Source organism: Homo sapiens, chromosome X, assembly GCF_000001405.40.
Source record: "Homo sapiens chromosome X, GRCh38.p14 Primary Assembly".
In the NCBI taxonomy this organism is placed as follows: Eukaryota; Metazoa; Chordata; class Mammalia; order Primates; family Hominidae; genus Homo; species Homo sapiens.
The window spans coordinates 16784737-16809160 of record NC_000023.11 but is presented as its reverse complement, the minus strand read 5'-3'; the positions used below and the strand labels follow the sequence as shown (position 1 = coordinate 16809160).

General features: G+C 44.4%; 1 protein-coding gene, 1 long non-coding RNA gene and 1 pseudogene across 4 annotated transcripts in view, besides 4 other annotated features; 1 reads left to right on the top strand and 2 right to left on the bottom strand.

The window, feature by feature from the left end:
• TXLNG (taxilin gamma) overlaps window positions 1–22695 on the bottom strand; it is a 58054-nt gene extending 35359 nt beyond the window's left edge. For all 3 annotated transcript variants that reach the window (NM_018360.3, NM_001168683.2, XM_047442249.1), the window contains exon 1: window positions 22572–22695. In NM_018360.3, coding sequence (NP_060830.2) covers window positions 22572–22673 — 102 coding nt within the window. In that variant the 5' untranslated portion in view covers window positions 22674–22695. The remainder of the gene's footprint in view (window positions 1–22571) is intronic.
• Window positions 5808–5928, bottom strand: RPL12P49 (ribosomal protein L12 pseudogene 49; annotated as a pseudogene).
• Window positions 19853–20353: an enhancer, noted in NCBI's record as "H3K27ac hESC enhancer chrX:16806931-16807431 (GRCh37/hg19 assembly coordinates)". NCBI's record gives its function as "activates a minimal SCP1, AML or CMV promoter by ChIP-STARR-seq in primed H9 embryonic stem cells {active_cell/tissue: H9 hESC(primed)}" and the evidence as "EXISTENCE:reporter gene assay evidence [ECO:0000049][PMID:30033119]".
• Window positions 21910–22349: a silencer, noted in NCBI's record as "silent region_20680". NCBI's record gives its function as "represses an Ori minimal core promoter by ATAC-STARR-seq in GM12878 lymphoblastoid cells {active_cell/tissue: GM12878}" and the evidence as "EXISTENCE:reporter gene assay evidence [ECO:0000049][PMID:35858748]".
• Window positions 22396–23128: an enhancer, noted in NCBI's record as "H3K27ac hESC enhancer chrX:16804156-16804888 (GRCh37/hg19 assembly coordinates)". NCBI's record gives its function as "activates a minimal SCP1, AML or CMV promoter by ChIP-STARR-seq in naive H9 embryonic stem cells {active_cell/tissue: H9 hESC(naive)}" and the evidence as "EXISTENCE:reporter gene assay evidence [ECO:0000049][PMID:30033119]".
• Window positions 22895–23501, top strand: LOC124905250 (uncharacterized). The gene is made up of 2 exons (XR_007068398.1): window positions 22895–23091; window positions 23198–23501. It is a non-coding gene; the product is annotated as an uncharacterized LOC124905250 (long non-coding RNA).
• Window positions 23100–23299: an enhancer, noted in NCBI's record as "active region_29455". NCBI's record gives its function as "activates an Ori minimal core promoter by ATAC-STARR-seq in GM12878 lymphoblastoid cells {active_cell/tissue: GM12878}" and the evidence as "EXISTENCE:reporter gene assay evidence [ECO:0000049][PMID:35858748]".

Sequence of the window (24424 nt, the reverse complement as noted above, 5' to 3'; positions counted from 1 at the left end):
ATCTTGATGGGGATTTCAGTTACAGAGCTGCATGCATTTGCTAAAACTTAGCACATAATGTACTTCTGATGGCTTCATGGGTGAAGGGACAGATAAATGGATAACTGAAAAAGCAACCAGAGTAAAATGTCAAAGGTAAAATCTAGGTGGTGGCAAAATTGATGTTTAGTATAAACTTTGCAGTAGCTTTGAAATTTTTCATAAGATGTTGGAGGGAGAAAACATCAAGTCACATATGCTTTGATCCAGCAAATTCATTTCTTACCAGTTTTTCCTACACATATACCAGTGCATTTGTGAATGACATAATACATAAGGTTATTTATGCAGCATTATTTATGGTAGCAAAAATTCAGAAATATCCTAAATATCAATAAATAATAGACCGGATGAATAAACTGCTGTACATCCATCCAATTGAGTACCATACTGTTAAAAAAAAGAATAAGGTGGTTATATAATTACTGGTAAGGACACGTTAATAAGGGAAAAAGCAAAATACCCTGTAGCACATACCATATGCCATGATATGAGGCTTGAGGAGGTATAAATGTATGAGCAGAGTAGTATATCCAATCTCTGGCCGGACACAAAGAAACATTACTGGAGACAAACTGGGTGAGTGGGGACAAGACTTTCACAGCAGGCGTGTTTTCACCTTTTAAGTTAGGTGCCATGAGTTACCTTTACAAGAGCTTTAACATGTTTTTTAACAGCAAAATGAAGAGCTCTAATATAGTGCCTTATTTGGAAAAACAAAAGGGGAGGAAATATTTATTTAAATTCCAATCTCAAATGAAAATGAAACCAACACTGAGTAGTTTCCAGATGGATTTCTATTAGAACCCTTCCCTGCAGAAAATCAAGACACAAAAGCTATGACATCTGCATCTTGTGAGCAGCATGTGTACCTTTTAGAGAAGCACAACACTGTGCTACAAGTGTTTGTTTACAAGAGCCTTAAACACGAATAATCCCTCACCCTAGCCACTCCCCTCCGGTCAAAGGATATATTTCGCAATCTTCCTTCCACTGTCTCAATACTTGGAGCTAAGAGGACTCACTAACTGACCAAGAGATGCCTTCAAAATGGGAGGTCACCAGTTTATCAATAATAAATGACAGGAGCAAAGAACAACTATCATAGAAATTTTTGCAAATGAACATGAGGAAGTACTCTGCATTCATCAACTACTTGTAATAGCTTTTTGGATCAAAACATTCAAAACTAAGAACATGGAAATTAAAACCAGAAGGAAAAAAAAATTTTTAGGTTTCTTTCCCTTCTACCAACACCCACATTCACTTCCTAATTATTTCAACTACTGCTTGCTCACATGAGCTCAAACACCTTTGACCAGGGCCAGGCATATGCAGAGGACACAAATTACCCAGTCCTTGCCAGCAAGAGCTAGAGTGGACCTTCAGAGGGAGCAGTTGGGAAAAGTTGTGTGTATTTCTGCATTTTCCTAGACAGACATCCTTAGCTTGCCTCAGATTCCCAGTCTAGGAGGAACTTATCAAATAAGTAAAGGGAACCTTTAGCACCTCAGGCTGACACTGTGTGAGGTATTCTCAAAGTGACCCCATTTAACCTTCCCTGCCTCACTGAGATACAGGCCTTATTGTTCCCAGGTACAGAAAATGAGACTTGACGAGATTAAGTAACTCGCTCAAAATCATATTAAAATCAGTAAAAGGGGCTGGGAAAATTCAAAACCAGGTCCACCAAACTCAAGAGTCAATGTTCTCTCTATTACACTGTTTCCCTCACTTTATAAATCAGCTTTGGAAAATGCAAGTTCAAAGTCAAACAGATCTCTGACGCAGTTACAAAATAAATCTAAATTAAATGTCTAAAAATACACAGCACACTAGAAATACCAATATGCATTCAGAAAACATCATGAAAGATACGTAGAATTTTTAGCAGGGATTAACTCTGGGATTTAGGGAGGTAAGACATGTCTAATTTGGGGGTAGGGACAGCTTCAAATAATTTGAAGTGATTATTTAAGGAATTGGAGTTAGTTTGTTGTTTTTTAATTTTGTGGTTTGTTTTTGTTTTGTTTGTTTTAAGACAGAGTCTCGCTCCATCACCCAGGCTGGAGTGCAGTGGCCCTATCTCAGCTCACTGCAACCTCCACCTCCCGGGTTCAAGCGATTCTCCTGCCTCGGCCTCCTGAGTAGTTGGGACTACAGGCGTGTGCCACCACGCCTAATTTTTTTTTTTTTTTTTTTTTTGAGACAGAGTCTCGCTCTGTCCCCCAGGATGGAGTGCAGTGGCACGACCTCGGCTCACTGCAACCTCCGCCTCCCGAGTTCAAGCAATTCTCCTGCCTCAGCCTCCCGAGTAGCTGGGACTACAGGCGCGCACCACCACATCCAGCTAATTTTTTGTATTTTTAGTAGAGATGGGGTTTCACCGTGTTAACCAGGATCGTCTTGATCTCCTGACCTCATGATCCACTGGCCTCGGCCTCCCAAAGTGCTGGGATTACAGGCATGAGCCACCGCGCCCGGCCAATTTTTGTATTTTTTAGTAGAGACGGGGTTTTGCCATGTTGGCCAGGCTGGTCTTGAACTCCTGGCCTCAGATGATCTGCCCGCCTCAGCCTCCCAAAGTGCTGGAATTACAGGCGTGAGCCACCATGCTTGGCCTTAATTTTGTGTTTTAGGATAAACCAAATTATCTCTAAAAATCTTTCCAACCCTTTGTTTCTAATAATTTACCCTAAGAGTTGTTAACTTCAACCAGGAGTGTACGGACAACAGTGTATGTGCAACCATGCTCGCTCTGCCCTGGGAGGGGCAGTGGAGGCAGAAATGGATGAGGAAATAGTGAAAGATATCAAAGATACCCCATACTCTCGGGGCATCAGCTACTGGCCTTATTTGGTTTTATAAAACATAAACGTTCCTCCTAAACGCTTCCAGTATTTTGAGGGGCTTTCACATTTCCAAATACAAAGTTTTACAAACAAGCCTATTATAAAAATTACATTGTCATGTGGCTAAATTACAAAAATGACTTCAGCTTTGTATAAGTCATTTAAAACAGTGTATACACTAAGGCTATTTTAATCTTCCAAAGAACTATTGTGGATAGCACAGTTTTCCTCACAGCTAATGCTTTATCAATCATTTATCTCAAATTCCTGTTTTAACCATTTTGGATCAAAGCCTTTAAAATATGTATTACATAACTCAATGCCTCCTTAAATAGTAGTCTGTTTTACTGTGTTAGAACAAAGAAATGAAATGAAAGGATATTTATTTTTAACAGATAAAATATTACTGTGCACTATTATATAATTAGATTTTGGTATACATGTCTCTACAATATGCCTATATTCTTTAAGATAATAAATTCTCAATGTTTCCAAATATAAACTCCCAAAGGTTAGATCTTATGTAAATTTTAGGTATGAAATACTTGTCTGAGACTTCCTAAGTTATATAGCACTGTCTTTAAAAACAGACCACACAGACCCATACATGGGAATTTACTACATTAAAAATGGTGTCATTTCAAATTGGTAAAGGAAATAAATGATTTATGATATCTCCCAAACCATATGGGGGAACAAAGGGGTATCCTGTCTTACCCCCTCCAGATATACCAAGATTGAAACATGAAAAATTAAAACCACAAAGAGCTTGAAGAAGTCCTCAACAAATTTTTTTCCATAACCTTGGCATGAAGAAGGCCTTTCTTTTGTTGTTGTTGTTTTGGTTTTTTTATTTTTATGAAATTATATACAGCAGAATGACTGCTCCATAGACAGAGCAGGGCTATCTCAGTAGCACAGAGTAGCCAAGAAGGCCTTTCAAAGGAAAGCAAAAAGCCCAGAAGCTATTTTTAAAAAGGGGGTGGAGGGCGGGTGCGGTGGCTCACGCCTGTAATCCCAACACTATGCAAGGCCGAGGTAGGAGGATTGCTTGAGCTCATGAGTTCAAGACTAGCCTGTGCAACACAGCAAGACCTGTCTCTACTAAAAATAAAAAAATTAGCCGTGTGTGACGGCACACATCTGCGGTCCCAGCTACTCAGGAGGCTAAGGTAGGAGGATCACTTGAGCTTGGAAGATCAGCAAGCTATGACTGCACCACTGCACTCTAGCCTGGGCAACACAGCCAGGCTCTGTCTCTCAAAAAAAAAAAAAAAAAAAAAAGCGGGGGGGGGGGGTGGGCAGTGGTGGTGACTGGAGATTAGTTTGCTAAATAATTAAAATCTTTGAAATTCCTGGGGTGGAGGGACAACGGACAGTGAGGTATGAGAAATTACCTATTGGGCCCAATTTATACTATTCCTAGTAGTGATGGTTATACTAAAATCCCAGACTTCAGATTTCACCGCTACATAATGTATCCATGTAACGAAACTTGTACCCCTTAAATCTACAACAAATTTTTAAAAACTAAAAACTTTCAGACTAGCCAAAAGACTGCAGGAAGCCCTTACAGATGAGCCAGAGACACAGTTTTCAAGGGTTTGTGAACAGGCAGATCACAATTAAAGAACTAAAAATGCCCAATATACAAATAAAAATGCAAAGCAAACCAAGGTACCATCTTTAACTTACCACATTTTAAAGGAGTAAAAAAACAACCTTGGTGTGGGCAAACAGGTCACTCAACATACTTTTGGCGGGGGGTGGGGGGCTCTAAATTGGTAGAGTGGGTTTGTAGAGGTATTAGCAAGCTCTATCAACGTCTGAACTCACATGCATTTTCACCCAACAATTCTACCGCTTTGAGTTTATTCCAGATATTCTCACTCAAGTGTAAATGGTTACTCACCAAACCAGAAAACAACCTAAATGTCCACCAATAGGGAACTGGTTAAATAACGGCCAACCATACAAGGTAAAACCATGCAGCCATTCAAAGGAATAAAACAGATCGTATGCCGACATAGTATAATTAGGTAGGAAAAAAGGCAAATGGCCAGTACAGGATGAATACATCAGTATAAATTTAAAATATCCATACACTGTATAAGCCAATATATGGATACAATTTTCCTACAAGAATATCCCCAAAATTGTTCACCATAATTACCTTTGTGTGGATTGCGGACCTAGAAGTTGGAAATGAAGAATTATTTTTTCTTTTTATAATTCTTGGCTCTGCCTTAATTTATTTTACTTTTTGGCTGTCAAATGATCCTTTATTGGAATATTTTCCTTTGTGCTTCTTTTTTTTTGAGACAGAGTCTCACTCTGTTGCCCAGGCTGGAGTGCAGTGGCACGATCTCAGCTCATCACAACCTCCGCCTCCCGGGTTCAAGCGATTCTCCTGCCTCAGACCTCCGAGTAGCTGAGATTACAGGCGTGCGCCACCATGCCCAGCTAATTTTTGTATTTTTAGTAAAGACGGAGTTTCACTATGTTGGCCAGGCTGATCTCGAACTCCTGACCTCGTGATCTGCCCGCCTCGGCCTCCCAAAATGCTGGGATTACAGGCGTGAGCCACCGCGCCTGGCCCCTTTGTGCTTCTTAAATAGCTGGGTATTGGCCAGGCGCAGTGGTTCACGCCTGTAATCCCAGCACTTTGGGAGGCCGAGGCGGGTGGATCACGAGGTCAGGAGATCAAGACCACGGTGAAACCCCGTTTCTACTAAAAATACAAAAAAATTAGCCGGGCGTGGTGGCAGGCGCCTGTAGTCCCAGCTACTCCGGAGGCTGAGGCAGGAGAATGGCGTGAACCCAGGAGGCGGAGCTTGCAGTGAGCCAAGACTGCACCACTGCACTCCAGCCTGGGTGACAGAGTGAGACTCCATCTCAAAAAAAAAAAAAAAAAATAGCTGGGTATTGCACTGCATCACTGTTGATGTCATTTATGATGTCATGAGAGTGACAGCCATCAACATTGCAATCCACAGACTGGGCAGTCCCCAGGATCTCTAATGGTTATGGAGAGTTCTTAAAGATCCGTGCCACATCTGTAAGGCAAAGTTTGTTGGGTCAAACTTAGGCTGCATGGTGGAGGCAGCGGGTGTCCGACGAACCCCAATTTGGGACAACCAAAGAAAGTAGCAGGCCGGGCGCCATGGCTCACACCTGTAATCCCGGTACTTTGGGAGGCCAAGGAGGGTGGATCACGAGGTCAGGAGTTCAAGACCAGCCTGGCCAAGATGGTGAAACCCCATCTCTACTAAAAATGCAAAAATCAGCCAGGCATGGTGGCAGGTACCTGTAATCCCATCTACTCGGGAGGCTGAGGCAGGGAATTGCTTGAACCTGGGAGACGGAGGCTGCAGTGAGCCACGATCACGCCACGGCACTCCAACCTGGGCAAAAGAGCAAAACTCTGTCTCAAAAAAAAAAAAAAAAAGAAAGAAAGAAAGCATCTTGGCCTTCTCCGAGCAGAAAACTGAAAGCACTGTTTTTTATTGTATGAATGTATTACTTTTATTTTTTAAAAAAGACCTTTTAAGTTGAGATTTTGGTTGGATATCACAGTATCATACTTACTCACTTTTCCGTTACTAACGCAAGCTCAGAATCTGAACACAGCAGGAGGTCATACCTTATTTCATGTCATCTTTTCCCTTTGCCTTGCTCTATGCCAGTGGGAAATGCGACCAAGCCAATTTAACATAAGTAGCGGTCAGAATCACTAATAAAAGGGGCCAGGTGCACTTTGGGAGGCTGAGGTGGACGGATCACCTGAGGTCAGGAGTTCAAGACCAGCCTGGCCAACATGGCGAAACCCTGCCTCTACTAAAAATACAAAAATTAGCTGGGCATGGTGGTGTGTGCTTGTAATCCCAGCTACTCGGGAGGCTCAGTCAGGAGAATTGCTTGAACCTGGGCGGCAGAGGCTGCAGTGAGCCAAGATTGTGCCACTGCATTCCAGCCTGGGTGACAGAGTAAGACTGTGTCTAAAAAAAAAAAAAAAGGCCAGGTGCGGTGGCTCGCCCCTGTAATCCCAGCACTTTGGGAGGCCAAGGTGGGCAGATCACGAGGTCAGGAGTTCAAGACCAGTCTGACCAACAGAGTGAAACCCTGTCTCTACTAAAAACACACAAAAAATTAGCCAGGCGTGGTGGTGTATGCCTGTAATCCCAGCTACTCGGGAGGCTGAGGCAGGAGAATCGTGTGAACCCAGGAGGCAGAGGTTGCGGTGAGCTGAGATTGCACCACTGCACTCCAGTCTGGGTGACAGAGCAAGACTCCGTCTCAAAAAAAAAAAAAAAAAAAAAGAAAGAAAGAAAAAAAAATCACTAATAAAAAGTATCCCTTATTTGCCCAAGATTATGCAACGGTTAGGCCAAGATCTGAACACAGGGAGTCTGGCTTTGTTCAAAGCCTGGGCTTTTTATTACTGTCACACGGTTCACAGGCAACACTAACATTAAGAATAAAATACATGCAAGACATGGGCTTCAGGAGAACTCACCAATGACTGTAGACTCATTTATAAGCAGAGAAAATAGCCAATCTCTTTCCCTCCAACCCCACTAGCTGGAGAATTAATCTATCATAACGCTAAAGAAATCACTATCTTTGGGAGAAAGGTAGGTTGCCTTTAAATAAATCAGTTGACCACTGAGTAAAGGGGGAAAGTCCTTGACTATCTGGATGTTTTGGGGACTAGACTTCAGGTAAGCGTAATGGAAAGGGAGGTGTGTTAGGCCATTCTCATACTGCTATAAAAGAATGCCTGAGGCCGAGCTCGGTGACCCACGCCTGCAATCCCAGCACTTTGGGAGGCCGAGGCGGGCGGATCACCTGAGGCCAGAAGTTCGAGACCAGCCTGGCCAACATGGTAAAACCCCATCTCTACTAAAAATACAAAAATTAGCCAGGTGTGGTGGCATGTCCCTGTAATCTCAGCTACTCAGGAGGCTGAGGCAGGAGAATTGCATGAACCCGGGAGGTGGAGGTTGCAGTGAGCTGAGATCACACCACTGCACTCCAGCCTGGGAGACAGAGTGAGACTCTGTCTCAAAAAACAAACAAAAAAAGAATGCCCGAGACTGGGTAATTTATAAGAAAAGAGGCTTAACTGGCTCACGGTTCTGTTGGCTGTACAGGAAGCATGGCGCTGGCATCGCTTCTGGCGAGGCCCAGGGAGCTCTTATTCATGACGGAAGGCAAAACAGGAGCAGGCGTGCCACACAGCGAGAGCAGAAGCAAGAGAGCTAAGGGGTCAGGGGCATCACACATTTTTAAAAACCAGATCTCGCTAGAACTATCAGGGGGATGGTTGGCACCAAGCCATGAGGGCCCCTATGATCCAATCACCTCCCACCAGGCCCCACCTCCCACCAGGCCCCACCTCCATCACTGGGATTACAATATAACATGAGATTTGGAGGGAACAAGATCCAAACCGTATCAGGTCTGAGGTTGCTGAAGCCAAGAACTGCTCCACAGGAAATACACTAAGAAATAAGCATTTTTCAGAAGTATCTCCTCTTGGCCAGATGTGTTAGCACACGCCTGTAATCCCAGCTACCCAGGAGGCTGAGACAGGAGAATCGCTTAAACCCGGGAGGCAGAGGTTGCAGGGAGCTGAGATAACGCAATTGCACTCCAGCCTGGGCGACAGAGTGAGACTCCATCTCAAAAAAAAAAAAAAAAAAAAGTTTCCTCCTCTCCAGGCCTGGCTCGGTGGCTTACGCCTGTAATTCCAGCACTTTGGGAGGCTGAGGTGGGCAGATTGTTTGAGTCCAGCAGTTCCAAACCAGCCTGGGCAATACAGCAACACTCCGCCTCTAAACAAAAATTTGCCAGGTGTGGTGGTGAACACGTATAGTCCCAACTAATCGGGAGGCAGAGGCAGGACGATCACCTGAGCCTGGGAGGTGGAGGCTGCAGCGAGCTGAGACTGTGCCACTGCACTCCAGCCTGGGTGACAGAGTGAGACCCTGTCTCAAAAAAATAAAAAATTAAAAATAATAATAAAGTGGCTGGGCATAGTGGCTCACGCCTGTAATCCCAGGACTTTGGGAGACCAAGGTGGGTGGATCGCCTGAGGTCAGGAGTTTCAGACCAGCCTAGCCAACATGACAAAATTCCGTCTCTACTAAAAATACACAAATTAGCCGGGCGTGGTGGTAGATGCCTGTGATCCCAGCTACTCGGGAGGCTGAGGCAAGAGAATCACTTGAACTCCGGAGGCGGTGGTTGCAGTGAGCCGAGATCATACCACTGCACTCCAGCCTGGGCTAGAGTGAGACTCCATCTCAAAAAAAAAGATTTGATGATGGATAATTATTCCCAAGTGGAATTACATGGTCAATATCTAAGTTTACTATGTGAGATAAATGGAACACACAAGATGGCTAACAGAATACCTTCAAGGCTAAGTTCTGAGTGAAAAAAAGGAATAAAAAAACTAACATTACTAAATGCCTGACATCTTATTTATTTTTTTGAGACAGAGTCTCGCTCTGTCACCCAGGCTGGAGTTCAGTGGCGCGATCTCGGTTCACTGCAACCTCCGCCTCCTGGGTTCAAACAATTCTCCTGCCTCAGCCTCCCGAGTAGCTGGGACTACAGGTGCCCGCCACCATGCCCGGCTAATTTTTGTATTTTTAGTGGAGATGGGGTTTCACCATGTTGGCCAGGCTGGTCTCGAACTCCTGACCTCGTGATCCGCCCGCCTTGGCCTCCCAAAGTGCTGGGATTACAGGCATGAGCCACCATGCCCGGCCTAATGCCTGACATTTTAAATACATTATTTAGTTCAGTGTTACAATTCTAAGACAGTAGGAACATTACCCCATTGTATAGCTAAAGAAACCAGGGAGCAGAGTAGGAAGTGAGGGGAGGAAGCCATTATTTCAGACCTACATTTATTAAGCCTGGCATGGAGGTCGATGCTTCTATAAGGGGACGTCCTAAAGAACCACATCTAAAGCTAAGAATCATGATGAATACCCAAGTATCCATCGCCAGATGAATGGATATACAAAATGTGGTTAATATATAAGGTAGAATATTATTCCACCTTAAAAAGGAAATGCAGCTGGGTGTGGTGGCTCATGCCTATAATCCCAGCACTTTGGGAAGCCGAGGTGCGCGGATCACCTGAGGTCGGGAGTTCAAGACCACCCTGACCAACATGGAGAAACCCCATCTCTACTAAAAATACAAAATTAGCCGGGCGTGGTGGCGCATGCCTGTAATCCCAGCTACTCGGGAGGCTGAGGCAGGAGAATCGCTTGAACCCAGGAGGCAGCGGTTGCGGTGAGCTGAGATTGCGCCATTGCACTCCAGCCTGGGAAACGAGCGAAACTCCGTCTCAAAAAAAAAAAAGGAAATGCTGGCTGGGCGCAGTGGCTCATACCTGTAATCCTAGCACTCTGGGAGGCCAAGGCAGTAGGATCACTTGAGCCCAGGAGTTGGAGACCAGCCATAGTGAGAACCTGTCTCCACAAAAAATAAAAATATTAGCCTTGTATGGTGGCACATTCCTGTAGTCCCAGCTACTTGGGAGGCTGAAGCAGGAGGCTTGCTTGAGCCTAGGAGTTCAAGGCTGCAGTGAGCTATGATCATGCCACTGTATTCCAGCCTGGGCGACAGAGCAAGACCCTGTCTCTAAGGAAAAAAAAAAAAAAACTTTTGCTGTCCACCACAGTATGCTGGTGGTCTTCGAAAAAAGCACGAGTGCAGCTGTTTGAATTATGAACCCAACTTGCTGCTCTTTCTATGGAACATGTTTTAAATAGACAAACTATGGTTGTTTGTTCAGACCTGGGTATTTGGCAGATATTTTCTCCAAAATATACGAAGAAAGCCTGCCACTTCAAGGCAAGCAAACAACAGTACTTGTTGCCAATGATAAAATTTGAGCTTTAAAGCAAAAAATAGAATTTTTGAAAATTATCTGCCACCATGAGCTAAACAGCTTCCCAATACTTAAAAAGACTTTTCTGATGAGATCAGTGGTGATTAATGAACAAATGTAATTTTTATATAGTATACCAAAACGTACCAACGTTTGGAAGATGAACACAATTCAGTTAACCAATATTTTCGAAATGACTAATGGATGGTATTACAAAATGATACATGGGGAAAAGAGACCCATTTGACACGCAAGACAGACCAACAGAATCAAAGGATTTCCACAATTATCCACAAAGACTATTACAATACTCCTCCCTGTTCCAACTACATACATGTGTGAGGCCACATTCTCTTCATATACTTAGGCTGAAAGGGCATATTACAACAGATTGAATGCAGAAGCAGATGTCTTCTATTAAGCCATTCATTATAGAGATCTGCAAAAATGTGAAAGAATGCCACTCTTTCCAGTAACATTTTGGAAAATCAGCTATTTTTAATTTTTTTAAAATGTTACTTATGTTAACATGTATGGCAGCTTCTGCCATGGCCCCCAATGGTCCCCTCCCCTTGAGTGTGGGCTGAAACTAGTGACTGGCTTCTAATGAAGAGAGAATTTATCAAAAGTGAGAAGATGTCATTTCTATGATTACGATACAAAAGACTGCAACTTCCTTCTCTTTCATGCTGGCACTCTCTCTTACTCACTCTGATGAAGCAGCTGCCATGTTGTGAGATGCTTACAGAAAGACCCATGTGGCAAGAAACCAAGGAAGGCCTCCGGCCAACTGCTCATGAGGAACTGAGGCCTCAGTCCAACAGCCCACGAGGAATTGAATCCTGCCAACAGCCACAAGAGTGAGCTGGGAAGTGGATCTTTCCCAGTCAAGCCTTCAGGTGACTACAGCCCTCGACAAACCCTAAAGCAAAGGACCTGGCTAAGCCACACTCAGATTCCTAAACCCCGAAACTGTGAGATCACAAATGTTCCAAGTCAGTAAGTTTTGGGGTGATCTGTTACACAGCAATAGATAACCAGAGTACAACATTTCTTCTTTTTTTTTTTTTTTTGAGACAGTCTTGCTCTGTCGACCAGGCTGGAGTGTAATGGTATGATCTCGGCTCACTGCAACCTCCAACTCCTGGGTTCAAGTGATTTTCCTGCCTCAGCCTCCCAAGTAGCTGGGATTACAGGCATGCGCCACCACGTCTGGCTAATTTTTGTATTTTTAGTAGAGATACGGTTTCCCTGTGTTGGCCACACTGGTCTCAAACTCCTGACCTCAGGTGATCCACCCACCTCGGTCTCCCAAAGTGCTGGGATTACAGACATGAGCCACCGCGCCCAGCCTCATTTCATTTTTTAAGTGAATTAATAATGTTAAAATTTTTATTGAATTTCTAATATGGTAAATTAGGTAAAGAAGCCCACAAGAACAAAAGCTCCTTGGGACTGTCAATAATGTGTAAGTGTACAAAAAGATCCTCAAACCGAAGTTTGAGAACTGCTGTCCTGGTTGTGGTGGGAGCAGGAATAGAGAGACTAGAAGGCCAGCTCTGTCAAACCATGACCAGAAAGGGGTCCACATCTTGGCAGCAATAAGCAGGCAGATCCACCTCTAGGGAATACGCCCTGGGACCAGGGAGGAGAACAGGGAGAAGAGTGCCACTTCCTTCTTATTCAACTACACCTAACAAATAGGCATCTTTCCCCCTTTTTGTTAAGTGACAGATCTGCCAATCAGTGGAATCCAAATGGGTGGTGAGGGACAACTGGTATAAACACTTTCCCTTGACCTTCATTGCTCTGGCTCATTCAGAAGCCTCTGTAACAGTATTTAATAGACTACTTCCTCATTTAATTCTCAGAACTATCTTATAGGCAGGTATGATAAACAAGCAGCCTCAGTGATAAGGTAATTTAAGTACGATGTCCACGGTCAGGAACCTAGGAAAGGAAAGCAGAGACTGAATCCTTGTCTTTCTCTGTAAAGGGCATACTCTCTAAAGAGCATGCTCTTCCCAGGTTATGTTAAAAATAAACAAGTGCGGCCGGGCACAGTGGCTCATGCCTGTAATCCCAGCACCTTGAGAGGCCAAGGCTGGAGGATCCCTCGAGCCCAGGAGTTTGAGACCAGCCTGGACAACATGGCAAAACTCTGTCTCTAATAAAAAATAATAAAAATGAACAAGTGTAGTGACGGTCACACAACTCTGAATATATACTAAAAAAAAGTGAGGCCGGGCACAGTGGCTCATGCCTGTAATGCCAGCACTTTGGGAGGCTGAGGTGGGTGGATCACCTGAGGTCAGGAGTTCAAGACCATCTTGGCTAACATGATGAAACCCCGTTTCTACTAAAAATACAAAAAATTAGCCGGGCACGGTGGCGCATACCTGTAATCCCAGCTACTCGGGAGACTGAGGCTGGAGAACTGTTTGAACCCGGGAGGCAGAGGTTGCAGTGAGCCGAGATCGCACCACTGCACTCCAGCTTGGGCAACAAGAGTGAAACTCCGACTCAAAAAAAAAAAAAAAAATTGAATTATACACTATAAATGGGCAAACTGTATGGCATGTTACCCAAACAAATTACTAAATAAATGAAGCCAGAGAAATGATGGAGTTCTAAGGAGGGATCATAAATTGGAGGCAGGGTAAGTTCTAGGAGTTGTCCTAACTACTACCTGGGAGCAGGCAGCTAAAGGATCCAGAGTAACTGTCACAGCATGTAAGAGCACAAAGAACACACAGAACCATTAGTAGGTAAATGACAAGAAAAGAGAGGCAGACTAGTGCTAAACTAAGGGATGAGGGAACCTGATCTCCCCCACTGGGGAAGAAACCAAGAATGAGTAAAAGGATCCGGGAAAGGTCTACTTTGGACACAGCTTCTTTAGTCTCATAACCTAGCAGTATAAGTGCTAATATTGTACATTTACTGGTAACATCTATATTAGACTGTGTACATCATTTGCCTTTTAATAAGTGAATGTTAATGACTGCATTAAATTTTGCATTTAACTTCTGTGGCTATTTCTTTTATAAAAATAAATTATTATTTTTATTTTTTTTTGAGACAGTGTCTCGCTCTGTCGCCCAGGCTGGAGTGCAGTGGCGCAATCTCGGCTCGCTGCAAGCTCCGCCTCCCAGGTTCACACCATTCTCCTGCCTCAGCCTCCCGAGTAGCTGGGACTACAGGCGCCCACCACCACGCCTGGCTAATTTTTTGTATTTTTAGTAGAGATGGGGTTTCACCATCTTAGCCAGGATGGTCTCGATCTCCTGACCTCGTGATCCGCCTGCCTCTGCCTCCCAAAGTGCTGGGATTACAGGTGTGAGCCACCGCGCCCAGCTAAATTATTCTTTTATATAAATAAAGGATGCTGGATTCCATGATTTGCAAAATCACTTCTAGTTCTAAAACTGTAACTCAATGAATATCTGCAATCTGAAAGATACTTGTATTAGTGTAAGTACCTATTTCAGCAGCAAAAGAGCAGGACATTCAAAGATTTTAATGCCCAAAGCCACTGAAATATACTTGGACCTGATCTATTTACAGGACAGGGGCTGGGTCACACAACTAGCATCTTTAAGCCACAGACTCTTAGATGTAAAATGGTCCTTTACTTTTATGGGTTACCTAAGTGAACATCCCTGTCCCAATTTTATGAAGTCATCCTTCCCTAGATCCATATGGACCAATCCTGATACACCTCTGAAACATCAAGCCTTCTTTTTATTTGTCTTACTTCCCCAGACCACTTCAACTCTTTGCTAACACCAGGTTATATGAACTTTATTTACAAGAAGTTAAAGAGAGTCTCTCTAAACTCTCTACCTTTCAATTTATTCAAATTACACTTGGAGGTACTGTTGCAGGAAGTTGTAGCATGGCATACCTCCTAAATCATAAATCTCAAGGTTAACCTAGGGCCTAGGTGAATGAAGCAAAAGATATTAAGAGGCTCAAAACTCCTCTGGTCCCCAAATTACAATCAATTTTCGATATCCCCTAATCATCCAACTCCATCCCTCATAATTTGTCTTCGTTTAGCAAAAACTATTACTATTACTATTTTATCTACCAGCATGTTTTGCTCACTTTCAACTAGGGGCACTTATGTGACCTTTACTATCTGAGGAAATGTTAACATGAGAGATACGAAATATGGACAATGGCTTTGGAGCCCAAAGAGCCGAAACTCTGAATATACCACTTAGCATCTCCTGTGTGGCCATAGGGAGGCCAACCTGTCAGTTTCCTTATCTGTAAACTGGGATGTACAGTACTTACCTTCTTAGCGCCATAAGTAGATATAATAGGTATAAATTGCTGATAGATATAAACTGCTGACACATAGCAGAACTGTTATAATATTTGAATGAAGACATTTTACAGGCTGCGTGCAGTGGCTCACGCCTGTAATCCCAGCAGTTTGGGAGGCCAAGGCAGGAGAATCATGCTTGAGCCTAAGAGTTTAAGACCAGCCTGCGCAACATAGGAAGACCCTGTCTCTCAAAAAAAAGAAAAAAAACAGCCAGACATGGTGGCACACACACCTGTAGTCCTAGCTACTAGGAAGGCTGAGGCAGGAAGATCACTTGAGACCAGGAGTTCAAGGCTGCAATAAGCGTTAACTACACTCCAGCCTGGGCAACACAGGGAGATCCTGTCTCAAAAAAAAAGAAAAAAAAAAAAGATATTTTACAAAATGCATTCATTCTCACTTTTAATATGGCCCATTTTGCAATCCAAAAGACCCATAAAGAAATGAGTTTCTAAGCTACTGGCACATCTTTCTTGCCAAACCATTCTACTACCTTGAGAGTAGGGAAAGAAGAAACATGAAAAAAAAAAAAAGTAGCCAGTAAATATTACTCAGGACAGACTATAAGGTGGGAAGTAGGAGATAACAGAGGTCATTCTAGGGACGTTTTGGAAATGCAACACAGAATGCAAATCAACACCCTAAGCAATAAATGCTAATACAATTATTTTGATAGCATAGGAGGAAAACACCAGTTATTTTATGTATCTTTTCCTTCAAGTAATAAAATGTAAGTATTTATAAGTGCCAACAGAATTTCAACTAGGAGGTAGATTCAAACATAAAAATGTACTCCCAGGGTCTTAATGGATCTTAAAGGTCACCTTACCTATTTCTACCCTCTTCTAGAAATGTCCCATCTCAATGTTGATGAATATGATATTAAATTTGTATATTATTGTATACTTTTTTTTTTTTTTGACACGGAGTCTCCCTCTATGTCACCCAGGCTGGAGTATAATGGCACGATCTTGGCTCACAGCAACATCCGCCTCCCAAGTTCAAGTGATTCTCCTGCCTCAGCCTCCCGAGTAGCTGGGATTACAGGCATGCATCACCATGCCCAGCTAATTTTTGTATTTTTAGTAGAGATGGGGTTTTACCATGTTGACCAGGCTGGTCTTGAACTCCTGACCTCAGGTGATCCACCTGCCTCGGCCTTCCAAAGTGCTGGGATTACAGGCATGAGCCACTGTGCCTGGCCTATACTTTTTATTTTTATTATTATTATTATTTTTTAGAGACAGGATCTCACTCTCTTGCCCAGGCTAGAGCAGTGGCCCAATCGTGGCTCACTGCAACCTTGACCTCCTGGACTCAAGTGATCCTTCCACCTCAGCCTCCCAAGTAGCTGGAACTACAGGCACATACCAATGTGCCTAGCTAAGTTTTTTATTCTTCATAGAGACGGGGTCTCCCTGTGTTGCCCAAGCGGGTCTCAAAATCCTGGCCTCAAGCAGTCCTCCCGTCTCGGCCTCCCAAAGCACTGGGATTACAAGCATGAGCCACCATGCCTGGCCCATACTTTATAAATACTGACACACCCGTTATATTAACTAAAAGTTATTCATAATCACATTAGAACCAAACAAGAGGAATTAGGGGGAGGGCAGCAGGAAGAGGAGGAACAGGCAAACAGATTTCTTGAGGTATTAAGTTAAAACTTAACGAGGTAAGCAGAAACTTCCTGGGCATTAGAAGACATCTGTCATACTATCAATTACACAACTATACACTAACCCTAGCAAACGTCACCAACTGTGGGCTCTATTATTCAAGCAAGTTTGTTTCTGACTAAGACTCAGATGCCTTATCTATATACCTGGGGATACCACCTACCTTGCAGAGTTAAGGAGATATTAGAATGCATTCACACCTTAAGTGACTAACACAGTGCATGAAACACAAATGAAATTTGAGGTCTCCAAATTTCTTTCCTTTGAAACATAACTCTGAGAAGTGTAAAACTGTGACAGCATATCTATTTAATAGAAGCCCATTATAGTGAATCTTGTGAAGAATCCCACAAAAGCAGTTTTATGTCATTTGGATTTGATATATACCTTCCTAAACAAAACTTCTCTAGGCAAGACCAATATAAATAACACACAAAATAACATAAAACACCTTCCAGGCAGGGCGCGGTGGCTCATGCCTGTAATTCCAGCACTTTGGGAGGCCAAGGCAGGTGGATCACTTGAGGTCAGGAGTTCAAGACCAGCCTGGCCAACATGGTGAAACCCCATCTCTACTAAAAATACAAAAATTAGCCAGGCCTGGTGGCGCATGCCTGTAATCTCAGCTACTCGGGAGGCTGATGCAGGAGAATCACTTGAACCCGGAAAGTGGAGGTTGCAGTGAGCTGAGATTGCGCCATTGCACTCCTGCCTGGGCTACAGAACAAGACTCCATCTCAAAAAAACAAAATAAATTAAAAATAAATAAATAAAACACGTTCCAATAACATAATAAATATGACATAATATGATATGAAAATGTGGCATGAATAGCAGAATATGCTGTATCTGGTTTGTTCTCATTACTGCTTGTCCTATTTGATCCCAGTAAAAGAAAAAAATAAATTTACCAAAGCTTGGTGATACAATTAGAAAACAATGGTGTAAGCAGAAGATCACTTTACTTTACTTCTCATTACTTAATCTCTGTACCAGAAGAGTGGAAGTTCATCAAGTTGGCAAATGGGGAGAAAAACAAGATTAATGAAATGGCTTTTTCCTGCCCCCATACTCTTGCCCAACCCTGACCTGATTTCTCCTCATTATGTCTATCACGGAGAGATTCTGGGAAGAGGAGAGAATATAAAGGTTGGAAGATGGATTTACAAAATTAGCACCCTAAATGCAAGAGAAATTAATCTCTTCCATATGTCCTCCCCTCCAAACCATGTAAAATTCTACATATCCCACACTGTGCCAAATGTGTCCCATCAACTCCTTCTTCACAGTAATCCCCTGTGGTAGGTATGAGCATTATCCCCTCTTTACAGATGATGCAACTGAAGCTTAGAAAGATTGAGAAACTTGCCCAAGGTTGCAGAGCTATGGGCGGCAGAAAGCCAGGAGTCCCAACTCCAAAATCCATAGATTTACCCAGTACTACACTACTCATTACTGTAGTATAGATGAAAGAGTATTGGGTTCCAGACTCAGCTTCACCCCTTAGGCAAGTGAGTTAACATCGTTGAGCAGCTTGTCATCAGCAAATGAGGGCAGTGAAAGCTGCCCAGCCTTCTCCACAGCATCTGACTGGTGCTGAAAGAGTTAATGTATGTGCAAATGTGCCATAAAAACTACAGGGCATTATGTAAATGCAAGATTTTGTTAATTTGGGCCTAGGTACCTTGTATTATCCTTCCACATGGTTTATGGACCTAAAAATTAGTTTAATAGTAGTTAAATAATTTTTAACATTCCCAAGCAAAAATCTAGTAAAGAAAAAAAATACCAACCTTAGACAAGCTGGAAAAGGCAAAACTATGGAGACAGTAAAAAGATCAGGCCAGGTGTGGTGGCTCATACTTATAATTCCAGCACTTTGGGAGGCCAAGGCAGAACGATCGCCTGAGCCTAGGAGTTCAAGACCAGCCTGGGCAACATAGCAGGACCCCCAACTCTAAAATTTAAAAAAAATAAAATCAGTGGCTGTCAGTAGTCTAGGGGAAGGGAGAGAGGGATGAATAGGTAGAGCACAAGGGATTTATAGGACTGTGAAACTCTTCTGTGTGATACTATAATCGTGGATCCATGTCACTACACATTTGTCAAAATGCATAGAATATATAGCACCAGAGTGAACCCTAACGTAAACTATGGACTTAGTCAATAATAATATAGCAATATTGGCTCATGAATTTTAACACAAGTATCACACTAATGCAAGATGTAAATAATAGGGGATAAGGGTCGGGCGCAGTGGCTCACACCTGTAACCTCAGCACTTTGGGAGGCCGAGGCGGGCAGATCACCTGAGGTCAGGAGTTTGAGACTAGCCTGACCAACATGGAGAAACCCCGTCTCTACTAAAAATACAAAAAAAATTAGCCGGGCGTGGTGGCACATGCCTGTAATCCCAGCTACTTGGGAGGCTGAGGCAGGAGAATTGCTTGAACCCGGGAGGCGGAGGTTGTGGTGAGCCAAGATCATGCCATTGCACTCTAGCCTGGGCAACAAGAGCGAAACCCCATCTCAAAAATAATAATAATAATAGGGGGAAAGGGTGTGTGTGAGGGGGTATATGGAAACTGTACTTTCTACTCAATTTTTCTGTAAAACTAAAAACCATTCCCAAAAAAAGTCTATTAATTTTTTTTTAAATCAACCTTATAAAGCAAATTCTACATAGGGATTTAGGAAGTAAAACGAATGAGCCTGATGTTCTAAAAAATGCCTGACATACTAGATATTGTGTACTCATCTTTTTAGACCAATGCTGATAAAATTTTTATGCAATGATGAAAATATTCTAGATCTGCTCTAATACAGTAGCCACTAGCCACACTGGCTACTGAATACCTGAAACTTGGTTAGTATAACTGAAGAAAAAAATTTTTAATTTTAATTTTAGTTAACAAATTTAGCTACATGTCACTAGTGGCTACTATCAGCACAGTTTTAGAAAATTCCTGAAGAGACCCCTAGTAATGTACTGTAACATTACCTTTAGAAGCAAAAGGTTACCTCAAGAGACCATTCAAATGGTTGTAGTTATGAAACAATGCCACAATTAACTGAGCAGGTCGCGAGTGACTAGGCAGATGGTTAAAGCAACCAGGAACCAAAAAAGCCCATCTCCAATTGTTCCTCACTTCAGGTCCCATAATGTAACTAGATAATGACAAAACACTCACTTTTCTTTTAATTCTTTCAATATTTTCAAAAAACTCAATTCATTAAACATTTCTGCTTCCTGAAAAAAAGGATAGAAGTTAAGCTGGAATTAAGAAATATTTTTTCAAGTCAGTGACCCAAAAGAAATTTTAAAATTAAGGGACACAATGAAGTAATGTAAAAATGATTTTTAAAAAAATTTTTGGCCAGTTGCAGTGGCTCATGCCTGTAATCCCGCCACTTTGGAAGGCCAAGGTGGGTGGCTTACCTGAGGCCAGGAGTTCAAGACCAGCCTGGCCAACATGGTGAAACCCTGTTTCTACTAAAAATATAAAAATTAGCTGGGCGTGGTAGCACACATCTGTAATCCCAGCTACTCAGGAGGCTGAGGCACGAGAATCGCTGGAACCCACGAGGTGGAAGATGCAGTGAGCCAAGATTGCATCACTGCACTGCAGCCTGGGTAACAGAGCAAGACTCTGACTCAAAAAAAAAAAAAAAAAACACAACAAGTTTGTTTGTTTTTTTAAGAGACAGGGTCTCACTCTGCGGCCCAGGCTAGCCTCCTGCTTCAGTCTCCTGACTAGGTGGTACTACAGGTGCATGCCACCATAGCTGGCTTAAAAATGATTCTTGCAAACACAAGATAATTCACCCAATTTGTTAAATGAAAATTCAAAGATTAATATTTTACCATGTATTTGAATGCCGTCACTGTCAGTTAGAAATCAAAAAGAAAAAGATGCTCAGAAGAGCATAAGCAAAGAAGAATGGAGTATGAGGTACATAAACAAAAATGAGTAGACACACACATGACTATTCCTATCCAGCTGTTAACCAGAGCTCTGCACCTCAAAGGGTCATTACCTCCTATCTTGGTTATTTTAAATGCTAGTTGATTAAACCTCAGTTCCTAATTCAACGACTTTTTGTCCTTATCCCAGTGTCATAAAAGGGAACTTATATCCTCAATTGCAGTGGCTTTTTATCAGAGTCCTCCTCCCCTGGGGAACCTACGAAATCAAACACTGAGATTGGCACTCCACCCTTAGGGAATAAGTGAAGTGTCCAAAGTGATGGTGTTGAATCCCTTACAGGACATTGGTCCACAGCTTCTTTTTCAGTCCTGCAAGCACTGGATCTTTCTTTTAGAATACAAAGAGAGGGAGAGAAAGAAAGAGAGGTAATTGAGAAGTAGTAACACTGTCATGCAGAAACATGAAAATACCTGACCTTAGAAACAGGCCCCAAAAAGCTAATTCTTAACACTCTGCTCAGACGTAAACTGGACCTTTGTTCTCCCATTTGAAGTTTATGAATTGCATTAGAAAAATATTATTTCGTAATTTCATACAGGAGTTAAGAGTGTTCAAATACATAATTAAGTAATATTAAATAGCCCTCGGTGATCAAGCAAGATATCCAACAAGTCGAACGTTTCAGTATGTTCACCTGCAAGGAAAAAAAGAGATGGGGTTCCCACCTTCCCAGTCTCAGTCCCCGCAATTATCCATTCCAGGGCCCCGAAAACCCTGTACCCCGTTCGTTGTGCAATCTTTTTCAAACTCCACCCACTGAGCTCCAGAACAAGTGGAATTGTCCCGTTCTGAAAGAGGTCTCAATTTTCCTGTATCTAGGGAGGGACTGAAAACTCCTTGACGTGAGTCAAGTAAGGCAAGGGGAACAGTCCGGCCTGTTTCCCAGATTAAGAAAGACCCAAGGCCAGGGTCGGGAAGGCATTCAAGTTTCCACTCATCAAATTAAAAAAATAATAAATGAAAGAAAAAAAAGAGGGGAAAAAAGAGGAGGGTGGTAAATAGGACTGGGAGGACCAGCTATCATGCGATATCCCAACTCTGCAGGACCGAGGTCCTCCAGCATCGCCTCCCCATCCATCCCCGGCCCCACGTGCAGCCAAGCCCTCGGAGCCCCGGGGTCTAGGTCCCGGGGGCCGAGCGTCCCGCTCGCACCGGCCCTGCGACACTCACCCGCTCGCCTGCCCGCCCGCGCAGTGGCGGGGAGCGCAGGGGGGCGGGGGAAGGGGGGCCAAGCACACCCCGGCTCCCGCGCGGTTATCTTACTGCGCAACAGCCTAGCCTGAGCAGCCCGGGGGCACCCCGCAGCGCGCCCTGCGCACCTGCCCGACGCCAGGAGGGCGAGCCCACGACCCCAGCGAGCCCCCGGACGGCGGCGCTCAGCGCCGGGAGCACGGTGACGGCGGTGACTGGGAGAAGGAACGCCTGGCGCCCGGATCCCCGCGGTGCTGGCCGCACGTGGCTGTCACACCTGGCGCACCCCCGCCTCGCACCCCTTCTCCCTTAGAACCGCGTGCGCCCCCTGCCCTCCCTCCCGGCTTCCCCGCCGCGCGCCGCCAAACCCCAACCGTCGTCCCTTCCCACCCCATCCATCGCGGTCCCACCCCCCCCCACCTGCTCCCACTGTCGTCACCCCCGGGAGGGAAGAAGACCGGATGTTCGTCCCGTGGCTATAGGTAACCAGGGAGAGAGAAGAGGTGGACCCTGAAAAAGGGAGCCCAAACATCCCCCGGGCCCGACAACAACGAGGGCGTCCCCCTGACTGACCTTCTGCCGCGGGCTGCGTCGCCGTCCGCCCCGTCCGGCCTCAGTCGCCTCTTCGGCGCCGCCGCCTCTTCCCCGCGCTGCCTCCTCTACCCGCGTCGCCATGAGGTGACGGCAGCAGCCAAACAAGCGGCCCGACAAGGGGCACAGAATCTCGCAGGGCCTTTCGCCCCGCCCCCGAGCCCCCACGACCAATCGCCGCATGTGAGACTTCCCACGTGACCGGAGGAGGTTGGCCCCCGAGGGGACGGAGCGAGATGGGGATGGGGAGCATTGAATACTGGGCTGGGCTTCAGCAAGACCGAAGGGCAGATAGAGGCCGTGTGAGTCTGCGCGGATCGGGAATGGGACTCGGGAGTGGACTACAAGTCCCAGCAGGGCGTGCGGCCACAGCTCGCAGGCTCGGATCGGGATTGGGACATAAGGCGGCGTTCTGAAAAGGGGAGAGTGCTGCACCCAGTGTGCTTCGTGTGCATCCTAGTGGGACTTGCGGTTTCTGGGGGCGATGTCTGGCTATAGGAAGGTACTCGTTATGATCTTTCGCGGAAAGTTTAGAAATATCCCCGTGTTTGAGAAGGAGCACGATCGGCGACACATTCTTGTGTTTTTGTTTTTGTTGCCGTTCTTAGGAATTGGGCGCGAATGATTTGGGGATAAGGGAAAATACTTCACGACTTTCAAGACGGAAGGTGTATTGGCTCTTAGAATTTGAAGTTTCGTGCTCGGGCACCTGCCCCGAGCCCTGCCCCTCCACCAGAGTTGTTACCACGGTTTACTTGTCCCGAGCTCCCGCGGGATAGGTGCCGCATTCTATTCACCTTGGTTGAACCGCCCCGGCTTCTGCACACTTACTTGGCACTTCATTCATGTTGAATGTATCCTGCTTTCTCCCACCCCATTTACTCGTTTCATTACCTAAATTTTTTCAACAAACTCGGTTTGCTGAACCGAATTTTTTTTTTTATTGATATGATGTTGGGGGGGAGAGGGGAGATTTCCTCAGGAATATTCCCTATTTCCATCTGATGGAACCAGATCTCCAATGGCCGAGCTTCTGAAAGGCACAGACCATCATGAAATCCTGATATATTGTCTTAAATAATTCATTATGAGGCCGGGCGCGGTGGCTCACGCCTGTAATGCCAACACCTTGGGGGACCGAGGCGGGTGGATCACAAGGTCAGGAGTTCCAGACCAGCCTGGCCAACACAGTGAAACTCCGTCTCTACTAAAAATACAAAAATTAGCCGGGCATGGTGGTGGTGGTGGGCTTTTCTTTTTTCTTTGTTTTTGTTTTCCCAAGACGGAGTCTTGCTGTCACCCAAAGCTGGAGTGCAGTGGCACGATCTCAGCTCACTGCAACCTCCGCCTCCCAGGTTCAAGCAATTCTCCTGCCTCAGCCTCCCGAGTAGCTGGGATTGCAGGCACGTGCCACCACGCTGGGCTAATTTTTGTATTTTTAGTAGAGAGAGGGGTTTCACCATGTTGGCCAGGCTGGTCTTGAACTTCTGACCCCCTGATCTGCCCTCCTCGGCCTCCCAAAGTGCTGGGATTACAGGTGTGAGCAACCGCCCCCAGCCGGTGGTGGGCTTCTGTAATTCCAGCTATTTGGGATCTGAGACAGGAGAATCGCTTGAACCCGGGCAGCAGAGGTTGCAGTGAGCCAAGATCGTGCCATTGAACACTCCAGCCTGGGTGAGGAGAAACTCCATCACACACACACACACAAAAGTAAGTTATTCCTCAAAAAAAAATTTTTTTTTAGAGATGGGGCATTATGTTGCCCAGGCTGGTTTCAAATTTCATGATTTTCTATATTGTTTAAGTATGTATGGAATGAAAAAAATCAATAAAGT